Source organism: Homo sapiens, chromosome 11 (assembly GCF_000001405.40).
Source record: "Homo sapiens chromosome 11, GRCh38.p14 Primary Assembly".
In the NCBI taxonomy this organism is placed as follows: domain Eukaryota; kingdom Metazoa; phylum Chordata; class Mammalia; order Primates; family Hominidae; genus Homo; species Homo sapiens.
Window position 1 is genome coordinate 87,953,266 of NC_000011.10, and position 24,937 is coordinate 87,978,202.

The 24,937-nt window shown below is 35.9% G+C and overlaps 1 protein-coding gene across 2 annotated transcripts in view, besides 3 other annotated features; it reads right to left on the minus strand.

The window, feature by feature from the left end:
- RAB38 (RAB38, member RAS oncogene family) overlaps positions 1-24,937 on the minus strand; it is a 371,729-nt gene that overhangs the window by 149,551 nt on the left and 197,241 nt on the right. For both annotated transcript variants that reach the window (XM_017017456.3, XM_017017455.3), the window contains exon 3: positions 1,568-1,641. In XM_017017456.3, the coding sequence (XP_016872945.1) occupies positions 1,591-1,641 (51 nt within the window). In that variant the 3' untranslated portion in view covers positions 1,568-1,590. The remainder of the gene's footprint in view (positions 1-1,567; positions 1,642-24,937) is intronic.
- Positions 14,073-14,594: an enhancer, noted in NCBI's record as "OCT4-NANOG hESC enhancer chr11:87678230-87678751 (GRCh37/hg19 assembly coordinates)". NCBI's record gives its function as "activates a minimal SCP1, AML or CMV promoter by ChIP-STARR-seq in primed H9 embryonic stem cells {active_cell/tissue: H9 hESC(primed)}" and the evidence as "EXISTENCE:reporter gene assay evidence [ECO:0000049][PMID:30033119]".
- Positions 17,502-18,003: an enhancer, noted in NCBI's record as "NANOG hESC enhancer chr11:87681659-87682160 (GRCh37/hg19 assembly coordinates)". NCBI's record gives its function as "activates a minimal SCP1, AML or CMV promoter by ChIP-STARR-seq in primed H9 embryonic stem cells {active_cell/tissue: H9 hESC(primed)}" and the evidence as "EXISTENCE:reporter gene assay evidence [ECO:0000049][PMID:30033119]".
- Positions 18,895-19,004: an enhancer, noted in NCBI's record as "active region_5376". NCBI's record gives its function as "activates an Ori minimal core promoter by ATAC-STARR-seq in GM12878 lymphoblastoid cells {active_cell/tissue: GM12878}" and the evidence as "EXISTENCE:reporter gene assay evidence [ECO:0000049][PMID:35858748]".

The following is a 24,937-nucleotide window of genomic DNA, read 5'->3' on the forward strand; positions in this document are numbered from 1 at the left end:
GTTGTAGGCATGCACACATGTATATCAAGTAGTGATGAATGTATAAGGAATAGGTGCTAGAGAGTGATGGGAGATACTTCAATTCTTTCCAGCTTTTTAGTCATAAAACAAGTGCCTGGATAGCAACTCTTAGCAATAGTACAGTAGTCCCCCCTTACTGGCAGTTTCACTTTCTAAGGTTTTAGCTACTTATATTTAACTGTGGTCTGAAAATAGGTGAGTACACCACAAAAATATAACTGTGCTATAATAAAATTTATGTGAATGTGGGCTCTCTTTGTCTGTCCTTTAAAATATAATTGTTTACATTATTATTATTTATTGTTAATCTGTTATTGTGTCTAATTTATAAATTGAATTTTATCAAAGGTATGTATGCATAGGAAAAAACATACTATCATGGTCTACATAGGGTTCAGTACTATCTGCGGTTTCAGGCATCCAGTGAGAGTCTTGCAACATATTACCTGAAGATAAGGGGAAACTACTGTAAATGAAAATATCTGTATTGCTTCCCCCTGAACAATACTGTATGTTTCTCTTTAAATGCTTGCCTTTTTTAGGCCCAAGATGGAATCTGTGTTTTAGTGTTTTTTTTTTTTTCCATTTACTATTTGTCAGGTTGAACAATTTCGTTAGCTATTTGTATTTATTTATTTTTGAATTTCCTATTCCTGTTTTGATGTAAATCTACAAAATTTGAACATGGAGGAAAGACATTCCAGCAGGAGGAAATGATATGAGCAAAGACACAGAGGTGGGACCCCCTAAAGTGTGCTGTGGAATGCTGTTGATCCTAGATGAGGGTGGCCATGTTCATGTAAATGTGCACACAAGCTGAGATACATAAGAACATCCAATGATTTTGAGTTAAAATGTAGTCTTGTGTCTGGTGGTTGATCAGTAGCATTGATGATTGCTAAATATTCTGGATCCCCTTCCTTTGATTGTCCTTCTTGTGAGAGGACGATGCATCCACCCTGCTGAACTCAGGGGTGAGCATGTGAACTCCTACCAATGGCATCATGGTGGGAACAACAGCCAGAACTTTGAGACTCATCACATAATTCCCCATCTCCTCTCTGTCTCTCCCTTGAGTTTGGAAATGTTCCAGATAAAGACTACTTTTTCAGCCTAAATTTCTGAATAAAGGTGACTAATTGGTCTTCAGGGAATTTGTGTGCTGTGTTGTCACAGAAAGATAGAAAAAGAAAGATTTTCTACATATTCAAGTCTCAATACCTACTGAAAGACCTGCATAAATGCACGCTAGAGAAGGAACAGCCTTGTTGAGAAATTTCTGTGCCTTATCTGAACAATTTTTCCTCAGTTTTCTGTGAGCACTCACAAAGCCACCACTAGCTTTCAGGAAGTGACCACACACCATCAAGAGGATCAGCTGCTCAGGAAGGCAGGACCAGATAAGGTATAGGCGAGCCCGGGAGCAGGCTTCAACCACAGTGGCAGGAGGAAGTGGATTTGGTGCACTGCAGAAAGCAAGGACACTTTTAGCTAAAATGTGATGGGCACCTACTGTGCTATACACATTATCTCATTAAAGACTCACCCTTTCATCTGGGATGAAAAGCATTATCCCGTGTTTATGAAAGAAGAAACAAGTGTCAGCTCCACCTCCAGAACCTGTAAAGGCAATATTCAAAATAAGCAGAGGAAAGAATTTCTGATAATTAGTAATATTGCATCATATATACTAAGTAGCGGGTTGGAGTAAATTTGGTGAAAAGATTGTTGTTGAACAGACTGCAAAAGGAGCACAGCAGAAGAAAAGAGCAGGAGCATAGTGGGAGCTGCAAAGCAGCTGTGCATGCAGTAGTGTTCACTGGCCCATGGGTGCCCCATCTGACTCCCACAAGAAGTCCATGAAAGCCACATTGGCACACACTCTTCCACATTGGTGCACTCTTCCACATGCTTTCATTTATTTTTTCCTCTTCTTGCTCTTCTCTTATTCTTTAATCCAGCAAATCCAAATTATAAAGGAAATATATTTCCTCTCTAGTCTCAAGTGAGAATATTTATCAAAATTTCAGTTCCCATTACAAAATAAAATAAGTCAACAATGGACACTGGAGGCTGCTGGAAGCGGGAGGGGTAAGCATTGAAAAACTGTTAGGTACCATGCTCACTACTAGGGTGACATGATCATCCGTATTCCAAACCTAGTATCGTGTAATATACCCACATAACGAACCTGCACATGTACTTCCTGAATCTAAAATAAAAGTTAAAATTATTTAAAGTATCAGTAGACAATATGACTTATCCTATAGACTCTTTTGTTTAACGAAGCCTAAAGCTATTGTATAAAGCCCGTAGCTAACTATAAGCCAAACTTAAATGAATAAAATAAGCACAACATTTAGCTCTTATATCTATCAATCATCTATCTATCAATCAATCTTTCTATCATCTGTCAATCATCCATTGAGCTAGGCATTCATGAGGCTTCAGATGACCCCTGTCATCCGAAAGTGAATATTTTCTATAAAATATTGGTTTTCTAGGTCACCGTTTTCACACTGTGGGGTCATGCCTCATAACTCATTAGTGAGTGATAAAATCAATATAATGGGTAGCAAACAGTATGCACACACACACACACACACACACACACACACAAGTAGGACAGAATAGAAAATATTGTATTTTCTCTTAACAAGACATGTCAAAAGAGAAAATGCAATTTTATAAAACTCTTGCTTCAGTACATTAGCAGACATAAAAAACTAAGTGCTAAACCAAAAATGTTTAAAAGTCTCCGTTCTACAGTATGGTTCATATATTTTCTGAGCTAATAAAATAATTTTTAAAAACAAACATACATACATACATGCATATACCTTGTAACTGTAAGTAAGTAAATTATTTAACTTATCTGAAAATATTTACTTGTAAGTAAATATCAACGATACAAAGTCATGATAAAGGACTATTATGAAGAATAAAATGAGAACATGTTGCACAAGTCCCTCAAACTACATCCAGCAAATAGCAAATAAATTGTAGCTATTGTTCTTATTATAAAATTACACAGAGCATAACACTAGAATCAAAAAGTTGTGAGAAGAACAAAAATATCCTTTAGTCATCTGCATTGGAGACCACTCACATGCAAGCTTAAATTCTTGGGTCCTCGCCTCTTCACTATTCTCTGCTGCAGAGATTTGCTTAGCACAGGCTTCTATCACCTGCACCATGGCCTCCCACTCCTGCCCCATGGTCTCTCAGATGCCATAGTAGGAGATGTCTGTAGAAACCAAACGGCAGGATAATTAACCCCTACGTGTCCAACCTTGTCCACTGGGGTCTGGGAACTAATTAATAATTTGTGGGAGCTCAGAACATGATATGTGAAAACATGGCACTCAGCAATTGAAAAAGCTACAGGAGCTAGAAGGTCACTCTGACCACCCCCACTTTTCTGTATAAAGCATAGTTATAAAACATTTTTTTTAATCTACCTTAACTGAAAGTAAGTCATAAGACCCGCATTCCAGAGGAGTACTGCACCAAACCTGGAGAGAAGGAATGATACACAGAGAAGCCAAGAAGAATTTGAACCTTTCAGGGCCTTTCTGGGTTCCCTCCCCCCACCTTCAGTTTATTATCATGAAGTTTCACCCTGTTTTTTGTACACTGACATTTCTACAGGACTGTCCATTCCTCATTGAACCTAAGTATAAAAATGCAGTTTTTTGGGGGGGGGTCCTTGAGTCCTCATTTCCGAACGCTCTCATGTCACATAAAACATTGTTAAATCAATTGGCTGTGCTTTTCTCTTATGAATCTGTCTATTGTTATAGCACTGTAAGTAATAACTTACAGTGGGTGAGGAAAAATATTTACTTTTTCACTCCCACAAATTGATTCCCCCTTTGTCCCTTAGGTGGTCAGTTCCAAGATTCATGTCACAAGTTTCCTTAAAAGTTCTCTCTGAATCAAGCTTCTTTGCCTGTCACAGTAGACAATGGGATCATACATATTTGGATTGCCTTTCTCTACTTCCTGCTTCTCTCCCCTCACCCCCCATAGGGGCAATAAGGTAATAACTTTTTCTCATCCGTCATAAGGGTCACGGATGACAGTCCTGTAACAAAAGACAGATTAACAGAAAAAAAAACCCATAAGTTTATTTAACCAGGGTTTTATGTGACCCCCATACCCAGGGAAAACTGTGTGCTTTTATTCTAAGTCTGATGAAAAAAGTGAAAAGTTGTGAAGAAGCATGATTGGACAAAGAAAGTAGAATCTAATAGTAATCAACTGCGAGGAGACCAAGCAAGGCCTACTTGTTCAGATTATTCTTGGGCTCTCTATGTGGCATTCCTCTCTCAGCATATGGGGCAGGAACTCTAGAACAAGACCCTCATGACCTGCTTTCAGGGAAGGTAGGCCAGAGAGTGACGTTTCTAGGTTTTATGGTTCACTTTGAGGGAGAGGAGTTCTAACTTCTATAATCTGAGGTGGGGAGAAAAATTCTTGACACATCTTGGGGGAGCGTGGGGAAAGGAAGAAGGGAGAGCATGAGAAGGTCAGAGTGACCTTTCTTCTAAGGCCTACCAATCTCCTTCCTAACGAAATACTCAGCATGCCATGACACCATATTTTGGGATATCGTGTTCTGATCCCTGATATGCTCATTTCTCTTCCCTAGAATCACTTTCCAAATATCACTTTCCAAATAAAGCACAGCTGGTCCCAGACTTACAATGATTCGACTTACGATTTTTGACTTTATGATGGTTTGAAAGCCATATGCATTCTGTAAAAACTGTACTTCAAATTTTGAATTTTGATCTCTTCCCAGGCTAGCAATATACTGTACTCTACTCTTTGTCACTGGCAGCCACTGCCCCCAGTCAGCCAAGCAATTACAAGGGCAAACAACCAGCACTCTATGGGGTTCTATGTTGTTAGATGATTTTGCCCGGCTGTAGGCCAATGTAAATGCTGTGAGCACATATAAGTAGGCTCGGCTAAGCTACAATGTTCTGTAGGTTAGGTGTATAAGATGCATTTCTTAGCTACATATTTTCAACATATGATGGGTTTATCTAGAGGTAACCCAAGTTAAGAAGCATCTACCCCTGCATGCAAGCCTCTGTCTTGGGCTCTGCTCTTAAGGAGATCCAAGCTAAGAAAGTCTCCAACCTCCTTTCTTCATACCTATCTTATTCTTTCCACTGCTAGTGTTGTTCTTAGTAATTAGAGAAAATGAACCCCAGGAAGCGAGGCTCTTAGCAATGTTATGATACACCTAGAACACTCTGGTCTCCATTTCCAGCTTCTAGTGTCTTTTGTGAGGGAAGGAAGTAGACAGCAAGAAACCTAAAGATGTCCTTGACTTTATTAATTTGGAGATTTCAGGAATCATTGTCTTTTTCTAAAAGAGAAAACTGAAAAGTATCAAAAGGAATTTTTGATGTCAAGACAAATAGGACTAGCTCCAATAATAAGCACTATTCTTGAACAGGGCATACGTTTGCCTTGTTTGTAAATACATGGCTGCATTTCTGCTCCACCAGAGTAAGTGACATATGCAAATCCTGTATAATAATCCCTTTCTAAGAAGGCTGCTTATTTGCTTTTTATGTTTGTTTCTGTAAATTGATTAGAGAGGAATTTGTTTATACCCCAAATAAGACAATAGAGAATTGTAATCATATTTCACCACAGGCCTCCAATTTCTGCCCTAGAGAATATAATGAAATGATGGAAACACCTCCTCCTTCTGCGGAACTGAAAGCTGTGCTTTAGGCTGTTGGCACAATTTCTGCCATGTACACCCCACCAATCATCAAATGGGCCCTAGGATTAAGATCCCTACCTTCAGGCTATGGGCCCATAGCTGCACAGTAATTGCAGTGTTGCTTGCAGTTGTGTTTGATAAGGAATTAATGACATGTGAAACATTCCGACGCATTTAGGATATCTCCTGCCTCATTGTGATTAAGGGAATCAAAATGCATTCTGATCTAGAATTGGAGGTAGCCTAAACCCTCCATCATTCTAAAACCTACACAGTAAGCTAAGACTATTACCTTATGTAATTTGTACTTTAGAAAATAAGGACATTGAATCTCAAAGAAGAAATAATCTTCTCAAAGTCAAATACTAAGTAGGTACAAGAACGCATATTCATACTCATATCTATCTGACTCTTCAAGACCACACTATTCCATCTCACGTTAGCATTTGTGGAATAATTCCTCTGTGCTGAGCATTGTGCTATGTGTTTCTATAAGTATCTATTTTACTAGCATCAGAATACCAACAGCTCCTGAATTTGTATAAGGTAGCTGGCCAGCCAGCTCATAGACGCATTCTCCAGCCTCCCACCAGTTATAGCCAAATATCCAGGTTCTCACCAAGGGAATATGAGCAAAAGTAATATGAGCAACTTTTGCATCACTTCTTTAAAATAAAATTACTTGTTTTCCTTTCTCTCCCTTTCTATTTTCCCTCAGGCAAGAAGCTTGACATAGCATCGATGAGCCCAAGTCAACTATATGAACAAAACAATGTCTCAGGAGGGGCAGGGTATCACGTCAGAAGAATCCTGAGTCCTTAGATGACCTTGTAGAAAAGAGCCACAAACTTACTCTGGGCTACCTTCATACCTCTGAACTATTATGCAGAGAGAAATAAATGTATTCAAATCACTGTTTTTTGGGTTTCTTCATTCATGTAGCTTAGCCTATAACCTAAGTAATGAAACTCCAGAGAACACTGTACACATTACAAAGGAAAATCTAGAGTCAATTTGCCAAAGTTTATGTAGCCTATGAGTGTCAAAGCTGGGATATGAACCCAAATCTTGTCTCCATTTTCAGGGCTTTTAAATCAAACAAACAGTGTAATTGACTTAGAAAAGTGCTTCTCAAAGTTTAGCAAGCATCAGAACCACCTGGAAAGCTTATTACAATGCAGATTCCTGAGCCCCTTCCCTAGAGACTCTGATCAAGGAGGTCTTGGGCCAAACCTAAGAATTGGCAGTTCTAACACGCCCCCATATGATGCTGAGATTACCTGTCTAGTGACCACAGTTTGAGTATCACTGACAGTAACTCCTTAAACAGAGATGGAAGACAACAAAAAAAAGAAAAAAAGAGAGAAATAAGACTTTAACGTTCAAAGGACAGAAGCCCTGGGCATGACTGAAGCAAAGGGAGCAAGAACTGAATCAGGAAAATGCTGATAACAATGATGATAAGAGCCAGCAATTATTGTGTGTCATGCACTGTTTTCATTATCAGATTTGATCCTCACACTCTATGAGGTAATTTAAACAATGCTTTTCATATATGAGGAAACTGAGGTTACTTTCTTTATATCAGACGCCATCCTTGTTACTTGTACTCTGTACAAGGTGAGCGACTAACCTGCATTTCGGTTACATAACTTCAGAATAATAGCTCTTTGATATTTTTATAAAGTAAACACTGTTCATAAAGGAGTGCCTAAAAGATATTCACTAACTCCTTTCCCTAGATGTGCTAAAATCTAACCTCCTATTGAGCTAGACCAGCCAAAATCTACCCAGACATCCCTAAGCCTGTTTTGCCCATTTGTAGCATAGTAATGCCTTACAGACACATTGTAAAAACTAAAGATGTCACGTGGAGGATGGACTCAGTAAATAGGAGAAATTACTCATGTTAAGAAGGAAGGGAATGAAGACAAATCATTCCTGAACAGAGAATTCACAGCATATTGAAGGGAAGTAAAAGGCAGCTTTAAACCTAGCATTTTTAATTATTCCATTTCAATGTCTCTTTTCATGCTGTGCCTATTAGAATAAAATAAAATTTTCAAGTCTTTCTGGCCCCCTTCTGCCTGCTCCAAAACCTAATGGCACTTGTGGCGTTGGACCTCCTTTCAGCTAGAGTGCTGGGCTGAAGCAGTTGTGGAGAACACTTTGATCCCAGCCAGAGTAAAAGCTGAGGACATTCAGTAATAATTTGTCTTGCCTAATAATTTGAAAGTGCCTAAGGACTAACCTCAGAACATCATGACCCCAATGAATGCTTAAAAATAACAAGTTTAAGGAGAGATTGTGTGATCCATATAATGCTGTAATGAAGTGATTGACATCAGTGTCCTGAGCTGGCTGGGGGACATGTGGAGGTGCCAGAGTATTTTCTACAGAGTATCACAGCCGTGCAAGTGGCCAGCCATGGCATTCTGCATGTTGGAACAACCCAGTGTGCTGACAGTATTCATCCCCCAACATCAGGATCTCAATAAACCCATCTGAGACCCAAATCTAAAAATCAAAGACAACTCCAACTAGATTTGATTTTCTCCCCAAAAGTCAATCCCTCCTTTTTACATAAAAGCTGACTCTGGTACATCCTGAAAAGAGGAATGGTTCTGTACCCAGGAACTAAAGTCCTAGAAACCAAGCCTGGATGCCAGCAGTAGCAGGGACATCACGCCATGAGCTGAAGAAGCACTGTTGGGTAGCCACAGACCAAATACTACACTCTTGGGAATTGTCTTTAGCTCTAAGAGAAAATGTGTCATGGGCTGTCTAAATAGTAGGGCTGCATTATTTATGTCATATTTATGCCTTGATTTTTTTCCAAGAAGACTTGAGGTTTACTAAAATATGTGCAAAATGAGACACTGAGGATAAAAGAGGATCAAGACTTTAGTGAGAAAGAACCAACTCCCCATTCAGAAAGCTTTCATATTGGTCATGGTTTGATCTTAGGACTGCTACCTGTGTCTTATTTCCTTATCTATAACAAAAAGCTACCTAATTACCAATTTTATGTTTGTTACTAGCACTACATTATAAAGTAAGGATGGAAGTTCTCTATAAATTGATTTATCCTCCCTTCCTCTCTCAGAAAAGGAATGCCTTAAGATTTCCAGTCTTGCCCTTTTCCGAAAGAAGGCATCTTGGTGTGAAGGAGTAGGAAAAAAAGCATCTTTTAAAAAAATCCCCGATTTGACATGTACTACCTGGAGCACTAAACCGAGTCCACTTTCCTTTTCCTCATCTGTACAATGGATTTCAAAGAGGGAAACTTTGTCATATGTGACTGCATGAATGAACCTGCAGGACATTACGCTAAGTAAAATTAGCCAGGCACAAAAGGACAAATACCACATGATCTCACTTATATGAAATGGAATCTAAAAAAACTGAAGTGAACCTGACCTCAGGCAAGGAGTGGAGTGGTGGTTACCAGAGGCTTGGCGGGGGCAGGGGGCAGGGGGGAAGAAGGATATGCTGGTCAAAGGATATGAAGATGGAAGTTTGCTATAAATTGATATATCCTCAGTTTCTCTCTTAGAAAAGAAATGCCTTAAGTTTTCAACTAATATATAGTAATCCAAGTCATGCAAACATGTTGAAATACAAGTGAATGGGAATGCAGTTAATATATGGATAGCACTGAGACGTCCCTGAAAATTTTTTCAGACGGAGGAAATAAATGTTTTGAGATTTATTGCACAGCGTGCTGACTATTGTAATGTATATTTCAAAATTGCTAAGAGTAAATTTTAGATGTTTTCACCATAAAAAAATAAGTATTTCAAGTGATGGACGTATTAACTAGCTTGATTTAAACATTCTACATTATATACATATATCATAACATCACTTTGTGCCCCCAAAATGTGTACAATTATTTGTTGATTTACAATCAAATTTTTAAAAATTAAAAAATATTACCTGTATCTCAGGGGTTCCATGAGGACTAAAGATGAGACTATTGATATGAAAGTCCTTGATAAAATGCAGAGCTATTTATGAATCACAGTGTTTATTATTTTAACTATTTATAATAATTTGATATAAGTTGCATTAAACATCCTGGGAACATATTAGTGTTATAAAAACTGTAACAGTATATTAATTCTCTGAATTTTCTACCAACTCACACATATAATACACACATACATACAAACACTCACATGTTGACACACACCCAAAACAGAAATAAACATATCCACAGAGCCCTCTGTTTAGGTGCTTCTTTGATCCCCCAGAGTGGCCTGAGCAAAATTCCTAACCTTATGTCTTGGTACACAAGTGATTAAGAATCAGTTGTGAGTAAGGCATAAATAATATGATTCTCAAAAAATGTGGGCATTTCTGTTGCCTATAATGCAACATATACATACAGTTCTAAGATACCTTAAATCCTATAAAATCACAAATTAAAATAATAGGACTATAGAAAACCTAGGAGTGGGACAGAACACTCAAAAGTCTATGCAACATTTTAACCACCGCACTAACAAAAATAATAATGAAATATGTTATCAAAATACAAGCAGAGTTAAAACATCATGTTAAATTCCTAATACGTAGAGATAGCTAAATATGGCTGTATATTTCTTTTTTTCTTTTTTTTTTTTTGAGACGGATTCTTGCTCTGTTGCCCAGGCTGGAGTGCAGTGGTATGGTCTCGGCTCCCTGCAACTTCTGCCTCCCGGGTTCAAGTGATTCTCCTGCCTCAGCCTCCCAAGTAGCTGGGATTATAGGCACCTGTCACCACGCCTGGCTAATTTTTTGTATTTTTAGTAGACACAGGGTTTCACCATGTTGGCCAGGCTGGTCTCGAACTCCTGACCTTGTGATCCACGCACATCGGCCTCCCAAAGTGCTGGGATTACAAGCGTGAGCCACCGCTCACTAAAGGTGATCTGATGGAATAAAGTTTAAGCAATGGTAGATTCTACTAAGTTTGGAGATAAGGGAAAAACACACAAAAATCAAAGGTAACTGTGCAGTAAGTCCTCCAAAAATGGAGCATGTGGCAAAAATAAGCCAAGAAGAAATTATGGCTTGTATATCAGTTATCTATTGCTGCATATCAAACCTCCCCAAATGTAGTAACTTAAAACACCACCATTTATTAGTGTGTCTATAGGTCAGCTGACTGGTTTTACTGACCTGGGCCAGCCTTGACCGATCTCAGCAAGATGCAAGGACCGTTGCATTCGTGATCAGTCAGCAGGTCAGCAGTAGCCTGGCTAACCAAGAAGGAACTCCAGTGTGATATTCTCTGCTTGAAGGAATTTTTAAATCTTTAGCAGGTTAGTCTGGACTTATTCATGTAATGGTCATACAGTTTCAATGGAACAAATGGAATTGTGGAAGGTCTCTTGAGGCCTAGGCTTGAAACTGGTAGGCCATTAATTCTGCCCCTGTTGACTGGCCAGAACAAGTCACAGAGCCAATTCATATTCAAGGGGTGTGGAAATAGACTTCAGTTCATCATGATAGGAGCTACAAAGTGCAAAACGACATTGTAAATAGGTATAAATAGACGATGGGAGAAGAGAATTGAGCCTATTTAACAACCAATTAATCAATGAGAAATACATCTTGCATATGGTATTACCTGCTTCCTCCTTCTGGGTCCCGCTGTGGCCACTTGGTGGTATAAAACACTAATGGGCTAGGAAAAAAAAATTAAAAAAAATTGCTTCCACATTTTCCTGGCATTATTCCTCTATTTACAATCACACATGGACTAATTTAATTCAGATTACAAAAACATATGTTGTAGCACAACAGACCACCGTAATTTATAAATTACTTATTTCACTAAAAAAATTTTCAGGAGAGTTTCAATGTTATCTATATATTAACAGCTTTCTCGCTCACTTGCATCCCAATATGTTTCCTTGACTTGGAAACAAACAACTAAAGTTATATCTACGGCAGAGTTTCTCTGCCTTAGTTAGCACTGTTAACATATTCAGCCAGATAATTCTTTGTTATATGGGATTGTTTTGTGCATTATAGGATGTTTAGCAGCATCTTTGCCCTCTACCTGCTAGCATGGGCCTCAGGTTGTAACCAAAAATGTCTCCAGACACATCCAATGTCCCCTAGAAGGAGGCACAATCACCCTCAGTTGAGAACCACTGTACCAGAGAATCAGCAGTGTGCATAACCTACAGCCTATTGCAACTATGCCACAACTATTAGTCAATTTCAAGATCTCAGGTAAACATCATCTGTTAATGTGTCTCAATAAAAAAAAAAAAAATGATTACTGTGCTTGGGAAGGGCAGACTGTTTTTAGAGGAGAATGATAATTCTCCACTCTGGAGATTGCCTTTCATAAAAAGGGAACACTCCTGAAACCCTTGGCCTTTGTTCATGCTATCGCTCTTCGATGACGACTGAATTTGAGAGAGGAATCATGTACATGTTCCCAGTTCATGTTCATTTACTTTTCCCTCAAGAGAAAACTGCTCACACACTCCGCTCAACTCCTTCACTCTTTAGGGTTTATAGGGTCAGGCTCTATTCCTGTGGGGTATGGAGGGGTGAAAGAAAGTTTTTACCAAGAAGTATTATAATATACTACATTGATCAGGACAGTTGGGACATAGATGGTGAAATGTGGTTTGGGGCAAAACACATGCGAACTACCTGAGCATTTTGATATGCCCAAGGCAAAGACTTCAGTAGCCTGCAGGAAACAATGAAGCCAGTTTTTATAGGTATTATTTTAACTTTTAACTGTTTTAACCAGGACAGAGGGAGTTAGGCCTAAGGTAAATGGAAGTGGGAATTTGTGCATTATGGGTTAAGACAGTTTAAGGCAGCTTTGACCTCAAGCAAGTGGTTTATGCTTTTATAGAGGGAACTAAACATGCTCTGCCTTAAGAAAACAATGTTATGTATCTGCTTATTTTAAGGAAAAGCAAGTGCCCAGCAAAGGTGTGTGTTGTGGGCCTCAGTAACTCTTGAAATGGATAGACATCAAGCCCAGGAAAGGTACAGGCAAAGGACCTCAAGAAAAAGTTTTAGGTCTCAGGTTCAGCAAAGACAGAGGATAGGGGCACTCAGACATCCACAAAGGCACCAGCCACAATTACCAAAGATATGGGCTGGAGGAACCTCAACCAGACGATAGTAGCCTGAGAAAATGTGGATCAGGATAGGTTAATTTCATATAAAGAAGAACCCCTCCCCTTCATAGGGGGAGGGCTTTTAAGCCTAAGCAATTTTGTGCCACAAGAACATTGGATCAAGTCTGAAACTATTATATTTACATGTAGAGGAGTATTGGTGCTATATCACTAGACACAGCCCATACTCATTTCAGCACTAGGAGATGGAAACACTGGGCTCCAAGGGAAAAGAGAAATGGCAATAAAGAGGTTTTCCAAGGTACTCAGATGGTAGGGAAAATGCATCTCCATTATGACAGGGGATATAAATATATATTTCTAAATTTCCAAGAAGGCAGCAATGCCTTAAATGCAACATGCAAGAGAGGAGACAGTTTGTCTCAGTGATTTCCTCCCACCCCATATAGTAAATCAATAATGCTAAAATTAACCTCATTTTTGAGTTTACAAAGCACAGGTCATAGATTTTTGGACAAGGTACCAGATGACTGGCATTGTCTCTAGCCCAAAACAAAAAACCTTTTCTCCATTTTTCCTCCTTTATATAGACTCCATCAAGTCCCTGCTGTAATTCTTGGCAACATTAAGTACATAATTTTATCTGAGATAGTTTCTCTAGGGTCTGGGAATTGGATCATTTTCAAAATTTATTGGGTGTGAGCCAGTGCTGTGATGATCATGCATGTTCTGTTACCTCTTTGGATTTCTCAAAAGAGAGGCTTATAAGAGCTTCGCATTGAACAAATAAAGCTTCTAAGTTCCCAAAGGACTCACAATCATTCCTGTGGAAGCCTGCCTGGCTTCAGCTACTGAAGGAATCCTAACTCCAGCCAGGCATGGATAATCCCTCTGGCTGAGATTAAGCTGAATATTAACTTGGAGAGGAAATAATGAAGGCAGTCAAATAATTTGATTTTCAAATTTAATTCCTTTGAACTTTAATGTCATTGGACTTCAACCTACAAAGAGATTTATATTTCCACCTTTATTTGTCACCCTATTTTGAGAAGCATTTGTATCTAAATTTGCAGCACTTCTAGCTTGGCATTTTATTATTAAATTATTGTAATATTGTTACTTTATCTCTTTAAATAACCCATGAATTGACTATGCTGAGCAAAACAGCTGAATAAATTTGAGTGGAAAATAATTGCCTTGAAATGAAATCAGTTAATGTGTGGTTTGGACCAACTTCAGAGCCTTCTGGGGTCAATAGCTGTACTGCCCACTGGTGGGTCTAGGATAATATATTTTTTTAAAATAGTGGTTAATAATTTTAAAATATCTTCATGAAAGTAAAAAAACAAGACTATCCTTAGAGATGGTGGATCTGCTTACATGAAGGAGATAGTGATCCCACAGATTGGTCATAAGCCTAATGGTTAAGCCCAATGCAATACATTAAGAGAACAAAAAGCTGGGCAATGTGAGGGGTGAGGAATGCCTCTTCTCCACTTCCAGTGTTTCCTTCCAGGTGGAGGGCATTGTTAATGTAACATTACTGACATTCCTGCCTATCAAGCAGTCCTCTCCAAAGAAGAAGTGACTGATTTCACTGGAAAGCTAAGAAGGAATAAAATGAGTGAGCTCATCTCAGTTTCTTCTTTTCTCTTTCGAAAATAATGTTGTCTTCAGAGATCATGTGCTGAAGTCTGCCCAGTCTTTCAATAGGCATAATAGGAAATGCCCTGCGGTGGGTAGGAGGGTTGGGGATGGCATGCGGGAGGTGTTGGGTGTGTATGGGACACTAACAGTCCAGCCATGCCTCTCACTGGATGGATATGTCTTCTTATTCTGAGGTTATTTGCTGAAAGTACATTTGCCACAAATAAAGCCACATTCTCCAATATATTCTTTTTCAGTAATAAAGTTGATATATGACCTCTTGTTTGTATTATTTGGCTTATTTTCAAATGGTTTATAACTTTAGAAAAATACAGAGAGATGTTATTTATTGTACCTTCTTAATTTCCCCAAAAGAGACATTTTTTTCTATTGCACATTTTCATTTTACTTATGTTATAAATTTGGTTTCCAGGACCTTACTGGTTTCAGCCATTTCATGGCACAACAGTAAGGGAGTAAAATCTGGTGTCTCAGAGGCCGTTAATTGTCCTCCATATCCATTTTTCTTTATTCCTTTTAGTATTAGGACTCAAGGTGTGGCTGGGCACATAGCACCTAGCTAGAGACTACATTTCCCAGCTTCCCTTGCGTCTAGGTGTTGCAGTGTGACTAAATTGTGGTCAAAGAGAAGTGATCAGAAGTAATATGGACACTTCTGGGGCTCTTAGAAGGAAGTTGTATGCCATAAACATCTTTCCATAGAATGGAACACAGAAATAGTGGTGGTGAGTCAGCTTCAAGTGTACAGATACAGACAATAATTCTATCAATATTACTCAATGTTGTAGTACACAAGGAGATAAGGAGCTTGCACGACAGTGGAGTTCAAAATACTGCTTTCTTCACTGAGAAAGTCTAGCTAAGAAAAATAACCATCTGGACAAAGCAGTGTGCTCAGTTATGTTATTGACTTACATACTAACACAAGTTTCTTATTTTATTGCAGACTTGTAACAAAGAGTTGATATTTTGAGCAGAATTGCTTAAGAAAATGGCATAGTAATTTAACCAAAAAATATGGGCCCCCTAAGCTAAATAATGTGTACACCTGGACATAGAGTGTGGAATAGTAAGACACTGGAGATTCAGAACAGTAGGAGGATGGGGGGCAGGTGAGGAATGGGAAATTAATTAATGGGTACAATGCACATTATTTGGGTGCTCGTTACACTAAAAGATTAGACGTCATCACTATGCAGTATATCCTGTGTACTTTGTCTTTAGGCTCTGATTAATCAATATCTAAGGGTATGTGTTAATCAGGCTCTTTGACTCACTCTTGATCTTTTTCCTATGGTCTTTGACATGAGTCTTGGGGGACAAGGAAGAAGATAAAAAGTTACATTACCTTCAAATTACATTAACAATAAAAAATTATGATGTAAGGGCCTTTTCCAACTCGATATTACTCAATTCCAGTAGAAGATCCTCATCTTACACAACCATCATCATCCTTTGGCACAGTTGGCCAATCCTCCAGATAACCACACATATCCCCCCCCAATAGAGTATGTGAATGAAAACTTCCATATCCAAACATAACCTGAATTCCTAAAGTAAATATTTGTTAACAACATAAATTATCACGATGAAGGTGGCAGTAGGTTGACTATTTAAAAAATGTATTCTTCAAACGCTCCATGGTATAATAGCTGTATTACCTAAGGGAATGTTAGACGTGAAGAATGAAGTCTAGGGCATTGAGCAAAAATGATTTCAAAACCTCCTTAATTTATAATTTAACTACTATTATTCAATTATCAAAATTTTGGAACATCCAAAGAGGCAAGTCAAAATAATGCAACGTGAAGATCAAGGAGCCTGGAAATAGACCTCATTTGGTCTGTGTCGGGAAATTATATTTATCTAAAATAAACTAGAATTTTAGTACAGAACAGATGCATTTCTAACACATATCTTACTTTCTGTGTTTGGTTTTCTGGTTCTTTACCCCATTCCATTAGTTAGCATGGCCTAGCAAAAAGGTAACAGCTTTTAGAATTGGCAATTTTGTTTTTCTTTCTGTGGTGACACAACAGTGGATTCTGGAGATTTTAAGCTCCTATATATACAGCAGTAACCAGAGAAGCAGAAACAGCCCCATATTTGAGGAGAGGTAGGGTTCAGTAAGCAGGTAGCCAAGCCATATAGAAACCTGTATAACCAAGGTCCAAATAAACAAGTAAGTCAGGTTCAGTAGGAAGAGTAAAAGTTGTGAGACCAATGACGGCAGAATCAAGAGATTCAAAGTGAGAAGATTGACATGGAAAAGTCAGGCAAAATGGGCTCAGAAGTAGAACTAGTTTGAGAATCAGAAACAGAGCTGGGGCTAATGTAAAGCAAGTAAGCACTCAACTTGGGAGCAAAATTGAAGGGGACACAATGTCAGTAATCTAGAAAATAATACTTTAATGTGGTATTTTAAAAATTAAAATGCAAAATAAATCCATAAAGAACAAAATATCAAAATTTTAAGTAAAATCAGGGTCCAGCCCTGTGCTTATGCAGGCCTGCCTCACTCACCTCCCCCCAATCTTAGCCCTGTTAGACTCTGCCTTTATTTCATATTATGATATTTTGTTCTTCAAGGAGTGTTTTGCACTAATTTTGCTTTTTAAAAAATATTGCATTAAAATATTAGTTATCTTAATTTCTGGGTTTATTTGTTCTCTCTTACGTTTTGTGCCCGAGTGCCTCACATACCTCCCCCAAGTTCCCGCCCTAGGCATGGGGTGCACATTCCTACCTTAGCCAGAGCATAGACTTTCTATGTTATCCTAGAAAAGTCATTGCTTGTGTTTTCTCTAATTCTTTAAAATGAAAGACTTAAACTGATGATCTACAATATCCATTTCACTTCTGACATTCTCCAGGTAGTTGGAGAAGGGCGCTAGGGTGAAGGAGTGATAGTTGGGGCATTGTATAAATATGAAAATATAATTAAGCTGGGACTTGCAGAGGAAGCAGAGCTGACGGGTGAAGAGTTAGGGAGCTGCAAGCTGACAGCTGACTTCAGATGTTATCACTGAGCCTTACATTTGGGGCTTTTGTTACTCCTTTTCCTCTTGGATGCTGAGACAAACATTTACACAATTCTGGTGTGAGATGGCAAGGGACAAAAGGAGTCCCTGCGCAGCAGCTAAATGTCACTCTAGAGCTCTGGGATTTAAAAAACAAAGAGAGCACCTGAGGATAGGAAGTCATGACTGCTCTTAGATGGGTACTAAAAAGGCTCATTTTACATCTAGGGCCACATTCCAATGGGGCAGTCTTCAGCGTTGCACGGTTCTTCAATAATTTCTCACTCCAGTGATGATTCCTGCCTGATTATCAGTTTGGTTTTTCAGCTGAGTAGATTTCAAGCTATTGAAAAGCAATAAGGGAGCAAAGACTAGGCCTCAGAGCTGAGTTACAGTGGATTTAATTGGCTATGAGACGCTCTGGCAGAGAAGGGGGAGGCAAGCAGAGCAGTCCCAGAATGCTGAAGTGTTGATGTAGCTGTAATGAGGCAGGAAGAACATTGCTTCAAGGGTGTTTCCAGATGGGTTTATCTTGTTGAAATAAAGTCAGGAAAGACAAGAGAGAGCCCTGCAAATTGTGTTTTAATGTTTGGAAATGGCAAGGCTGCCACTAATATGTCTGCAAATTGGAGGGAGCCTGGACTAATGTGCAGCTCAGAATGTACAGGGAAAATGACCTCCCTTCCCGTCACACCTGTTCACTTTTTCTCTCCTTGCCACTCCCACTCTTGCCTTTATGACCTGGTAACAGGGATACAATGTGTTTGTTTAAGGCCATTGGACGCTAACAGCTTATTTTCACTAAAGTTCTATAGATACAGAGTGAAAGGCAAGAGATGCTGATGCTAGACAGAGGCATAACCAGGTTCTAATATATGGAGGAGTGAGTGTGGGAACAAGATATTGTTGGAAGAATAAGCTTAAATAAAAATTTTAAAGAACCACCTTTGATTACATCCTTCTCTGTCTATGCCTCACAGTCTTACTTTCACTCTACTCTAAAACAATAATGTTGTTTTTGCTGAATGTAGTAGACAGAATGCACATGTTCATTGCTATGCCCTCTTGAAATCTCACTAAAATATGTGTAAAAGCGTTTTTTTTTTTTTAAAGCTATTTAAAAAGGAGGCAACAATCCACCTGAACTGACTCCACTATTCTGGTAGATGGAGTGTAGACACATTAACAGTTGTTGATGTAGCTGTACACAGAAGATGGAAACTTTCCTTCAGAGAAAATTCAGTAAGAAAGACGATTCACCTCTCTGCATTACAGAGTGCCATGGAAATAGGAAGAGCCAGTTATGTCTTAAGGCTTGAAAATAGTATGGCGCCAAAAATAAATGATTGAAAATATTTATAAGGTGCCCCACACTTCAGGACGCCTTCCTTAGCCCACATAGCAAGGTGATTACACCTCCTCTACCTTTGCCAAAAATAGTCTGTTATCTAAACAATTTGAACACAAGAGTAACTGTCAGTTATAGCTGATTGCAGAAGTGAAACACAGTATTGAACATGGGAAGAAACAAGTGAAATCTTTCAGTCAAACAGTGGGGATAATCAGAATATACTCACTCACTTTACAGAGCACTGACACCCACGCTTATAAGCCCTGGTATTTGGTACGATAGAGACTATACTGAATGAACAGAGATAGAAAACATATGCTTGCTCCAATTAGATAGCAGTTCTTGTTTTTTTTCCACATTAACAGATTTAAAGGAATCCTCTCTGAAGTACAATAGACCCACACCTACTGACCTCTGGAAGTTCATCAATAAGCAGCTAATTCCCCTAGTCAATCACTTTATGGTGAATTATATCACTGAACAACTTCTGTCTTTGCAACGAAGTTTCCAGACAGCTTTTTGAATATTTTTTACCTATATATTTGAGGTAACCTCTTAAGTCAGAAACCAAAATAAATATATTTTTTAAAAAAAGTCAAAAGGAAATACCAACGTAATATGGTTTGGACTTGTGTCCCCACTCAAACCTCATGTCAAATTGTAGTCCCCAGTGTTGGAGGATGGGCCTGGTAAGCAGTGATTGGATCATGGGGGCAGGTTTCCCCCTTGCTGTTCTTATGATAATGAATGAATTCTTATGAGATCTGGTTGTTTAAAAGTGTGTAGCACCTCCCCCTTTCCTCTCTTCCTTCTGCTCTGCCCATGTAAGACCTGCCTATATTTCCCTTCCACCATGATTGTAAGTTTCCTGAGGCCTCCCCAGCCATGCTTCCTGCACAGCCCACGGAACCATGATCCAATTAAACTTCTTTTCTTTATAAATTACCCAGTCTCAGGTATTTCTTTATAGCAGTGTGAGAATGGACTAATACACAAGGAAAGAAAGAAAATGTAGGGAGGAGCTAAATAAACAAGCAAATGATCATTTATACCTCCACAGAAGTAAGAGAACATATTTTGTCCATTAAATAAAAGACTACTATAATAATTATCAGAGAAAAAAATAAGAATTTTAGTTCTCTAGATTCTTGCCATGAAAGAATAGCTGCATAAGACTTGCCCACCTGATGCAAATAACTCTGAAGTGGACACAACACATGAAGCAGTTGTCTTCAAGAATCGGACCATAGGCAGCTCAGTATTGTGAGCTTTGAAATGAGAGAAGCACAGAGAGAGAGCACATGTGCCAATGTTCTAGGTCTGAGGGTACACCCCTGTCTACGGTGCTGGAGACCAGGCAGAGTATGGCAGTCTTGCTAACCAAAGAATCAGTTAGTGAAGAGAGCTTCTGAAATGGCTGAAATTTTGGTGTAGGTTACTAGACAGGACAAAGCTGCAGTGTGGAGGGTACTCAGAAGCCTCTTTACCCAACGAGACCTCATCAAAGACTGGCTACACACGTGAAAAATGAGACCCTGTGAATCCCAAAAGAGAGAAGCTGATGCAGGGCAGAGACCTAAATGAAAATGCCATAGGTCATTCAATGCCAGAATATACTGGAGGACCAATCCAGGTTAGAGTGAAGAAGTCTTGGTGAACAACTTGCTCATTCATTTGAGATCTCAGGAAGGCTCCACATTAAGAGTCACCCCATGCCCTATTTTGAGGGATTTTCCCTATGTCTAAAATTAAAATAGATCATCCAAACAAAGAATAAACCCAAGCCTGACATGATCAATAAAATCCATCATTCTTTACCTGTATTCTGAAAGAAAAAACAAGCACTTTTTAAAAACATAACTCAATACCCCTACCATGTATCATCAACAATTGTCCAAAATAAAATAAAAATTTGTGAGATAGTCAAAGAAGGAGGCAAATGAGACCCATAATCAAGCAAAAGAAGTCAGAAGACACAGATATCAAAATGATCCAGTTATTAGAATTTGCAGAAAATGAAACAAGCTGATGTAAGTATGTTCTCAAGTACTTATGGAAGCTACAATGAGAGAACATATGGCAAAGCTCCACAGAAAAAATAGAAGCTATAATAACAAAAGAACCAAATGGAAATGAAAACTACAACTTTGAAAGAATTGAAAACCATAACCCTGAAAGAAAAAAAAAATCATAGGTTGGGCTTAACAGCAGATTTGATATTGAAAAATAAAGGATCATGAATGGGAAGTATCCAATCTCAAGAAGAGGCAAAATAAGACTTTTTAGAAAACAAAAACCTCAGTGACTTGTGAGGTGTTAAAATAGTGTAATATATTACAATAAAACCTCAGGAAAAATAAGATAGAGAATAATTCAGGAGAAAAAAATTTGGAGAAATAATTTCTGAATTTTCCCTCAAATATAGCAAAAATTGTAAGCCTACACACCCAAGAAGCTCAGAAAATACCTAAAAATATAAATGCAAAAAATCATAGTAGGATTTTTTTTTAATCTGCTGAAAACCAAGCCTGCTGAAAAGCAGCCAAAGGGAAATGATACTTTATATACAGAGGGATTATTATATAAATTACAGCTGTCTCAAATCAGAAAAAATGATGATCAGAAAAAAAAAGGTGTAACCATTTAAAAGCACTCAGAGATAAAACAAACAAACAAACAAAACTCTTTAGAGCAACGAATTCATTTCCTAGGCCTACCGTAACAAACTACCACAAACTGGGTGGCTTAACACAACAGATGGCCACAGTTCTGGAAGCAGAAATCTCAAACCAAGGTGTTGGCAGGGTTGCTTCCTTTTGGAGGGAATAATGGAAAAGCCGTTCTATGCCTCTCTCCTAGCTCCAGGTGATTGCCAGCAATCCTTGGCATTCCTTAGCTTATAGACACCTCACTCCCATGTCTGCCTCCATCTTCCCATGGTGTTCTCTGTGTATTTCTCTGCATCCCCTCCTCTTCTGATAAGGAAGTCAGTCATAGGATTTGGGGCTCATCTTAAATCCAAGATGATTTTATCTGCAGATCCCCAATTAGGTGCATCTGCGAAGAAACTACTCCCGAAGAAAGTCACATTCTGAGGTTCCAGGTCACATGAATTTTAGGCGGATACGACTCAGCCCACTACAATCCAGAATTCTACATTCAGCCAAAATGGTTTTCAAAGATGAGACAAAATTAAAGACATTTTCAGGTAACGAAGCTGAAATAATTCTTTGCCAGCAAACTTGTACTACGAGAAATAAGGAAAACTCTTCAGATAGAATGAAAATAATACCAGATAAAAAATCAGAACTACAACACGAAATGGAGATGACTAACATGGTAAATATACGGGTAATTATGCAAGACTATGTATGTTTTTTCTTCTCCTAACAATCTTTAATAGACAACTGACTGCTTGGTAACATTTTATTGTGAAGTTAATAACATATGCAGAAGTAAAATACATGACAAAAACATGGATTAAATGAAATTATTGAGAGATTCCTTCATTTTCTATAAATCTTTAATTCTAAATATGCTGTAATAAATTAAGGAAGTATGTTATAATTCTTAGAGCAGCCACTAAAAATGTAGTAAGAGGTATAACAAAAAAGCCAATAGCTCCTCAAAAGAATAATAAATTGATACACCCATATCAAGACTGACCAAAGAAAAAAAGAGAAACAACACAAATTAGCAATGTCATGAATAACATAGGGTATCTCACTAGAGATTAAAATGGCATTTAAAAGATTAAAACAAATGTTACAAGAACAATCAATCTCTTAAATAAAATTAATCAATTGTTTGAAAAATACACATACTAAAGTCAACACAAAACATAAGACTCCAAATAACGCTATTGCTGTGAAAGAAATAGAATTAACAAAAAATTTCCCCCTCAAAAAAGTCTGGTATATGTACATATATGTGTGCGTGTAAATATATATATGTGTGTGTGTGTATATATACATATATATACCTTTATGTATATAGGTATATATAGGTATATTTATATATACTCTATGTATATTTTTATGTATATACCTATATATATATACACCTTCATATATGTTATACATGTAAGAGAAGGTGTGTGTATATATATATATACATACACACATATATATACACATATACCAGAGTTTTTTATATGTAGGTATATATATAAAATATAAATATAAAAAATATATACAAATACAAATATTTATATATACACATATTTATATATTTATATATATTTATATATTATGCATTTATATTTTTTATATTTATAAATATATATATTTTACATATAGTTATATATTTTTATATATTTATATATTTGTAATATATTTATATTTTATATATATTTTTTACATTTATATTTTATATATACTTATATAACTATACAATAAATATATATATTTTATATACTGTCTATAAATACATATTTTACATGATATATAAATATATATGATTTTATATGATATATAAATATATATAATTTTATATGATATATATTTATATATTTACAATATATTTTTACATATTTATATTTCTATATATTTTATATAATATATATTTATATATTTATATATATTTCACATAATATATATTTATATATTATATAATATATACTTATAATATATTATATATTATACAATGTATAATATAAATATATATTGTGTTATATAATGTATTATATATTATATGTTATATAATGTATTATATATTATATGTTATATAATGTATTATATATTATAATTACATTATACAAGTATATTATAAAATATAATTACATTATACAAGTATATTATAAAATATAATTACATTATACAAGTATATTATAAAATATAATTACATTATACAAGTATATTATAAAATATAATTACATTATACAAGTATATTATAAAATATAATTATATTATACAAGTATATTATAAAATATAATTATATTATACAAGTATATTATAAAATTATATTATACAAGTATATTATAAAATTATATTATACAAGTATATTATAAAATATAATTATATTATACAAGTAAATTATAAAATATAATTATATTATACAAGTAAATTATAAAATATAATTATATTATACAAGTATATTATAAAATATAATTATATTATACAAGTATATTATAAAATATAATTATATTATACAAGTATATTATAAAATTATATATTATATAAGTATATTATAAAATTATATTATAAAATATAATTATATATATAATTATATTATAAAATATAATTATATTATAAAACAATTATATATAATTATATTACATAATATAATTATATATTACATATATAATTATATATAATATAATTTTATATGATTATGTAATTATATAGATAATATAATTATATCATTATTATATAATATAATTATATAATATACTTATGTAACATAATTTTATAATAATTATGTACTATACAATTATATAATTATGTAATTGTATATTATATAATTATATAAATTATACAGTATATAACTATATATTATGTAATATATGTCATATAATATATAGGGATATATTATATATTTATATATTATATGACATATGTTATATATTCTATAATATATATATATTATATTATAGTTATATATTATATCATAGTTATATATATTATAGAGTTATATATTAAATATATGTTCCTATATAATCATGTATATTAATGGATAGTAATATACTTACAAATATATATAAAGATGTAGTCATAGATTTACATATAATTATATACATAAATATGTAGTGACACCTTTATATAATATATTAATATAATATATAAATAAGATATATTATATAAATACATATCTTATAAACTATTATTTTAATATTATATAAATATATACTTACACATACATAATACATCTATTTTTATCATATATACATCATATATAAATATATAGGTGTATATATTTATATATACATCATATATAAAAATATAGGTGTATATATTTATATATACATTATATATAAATATATAGGTGTATATATTTATATATACATCATATATAAATATATAGGTGT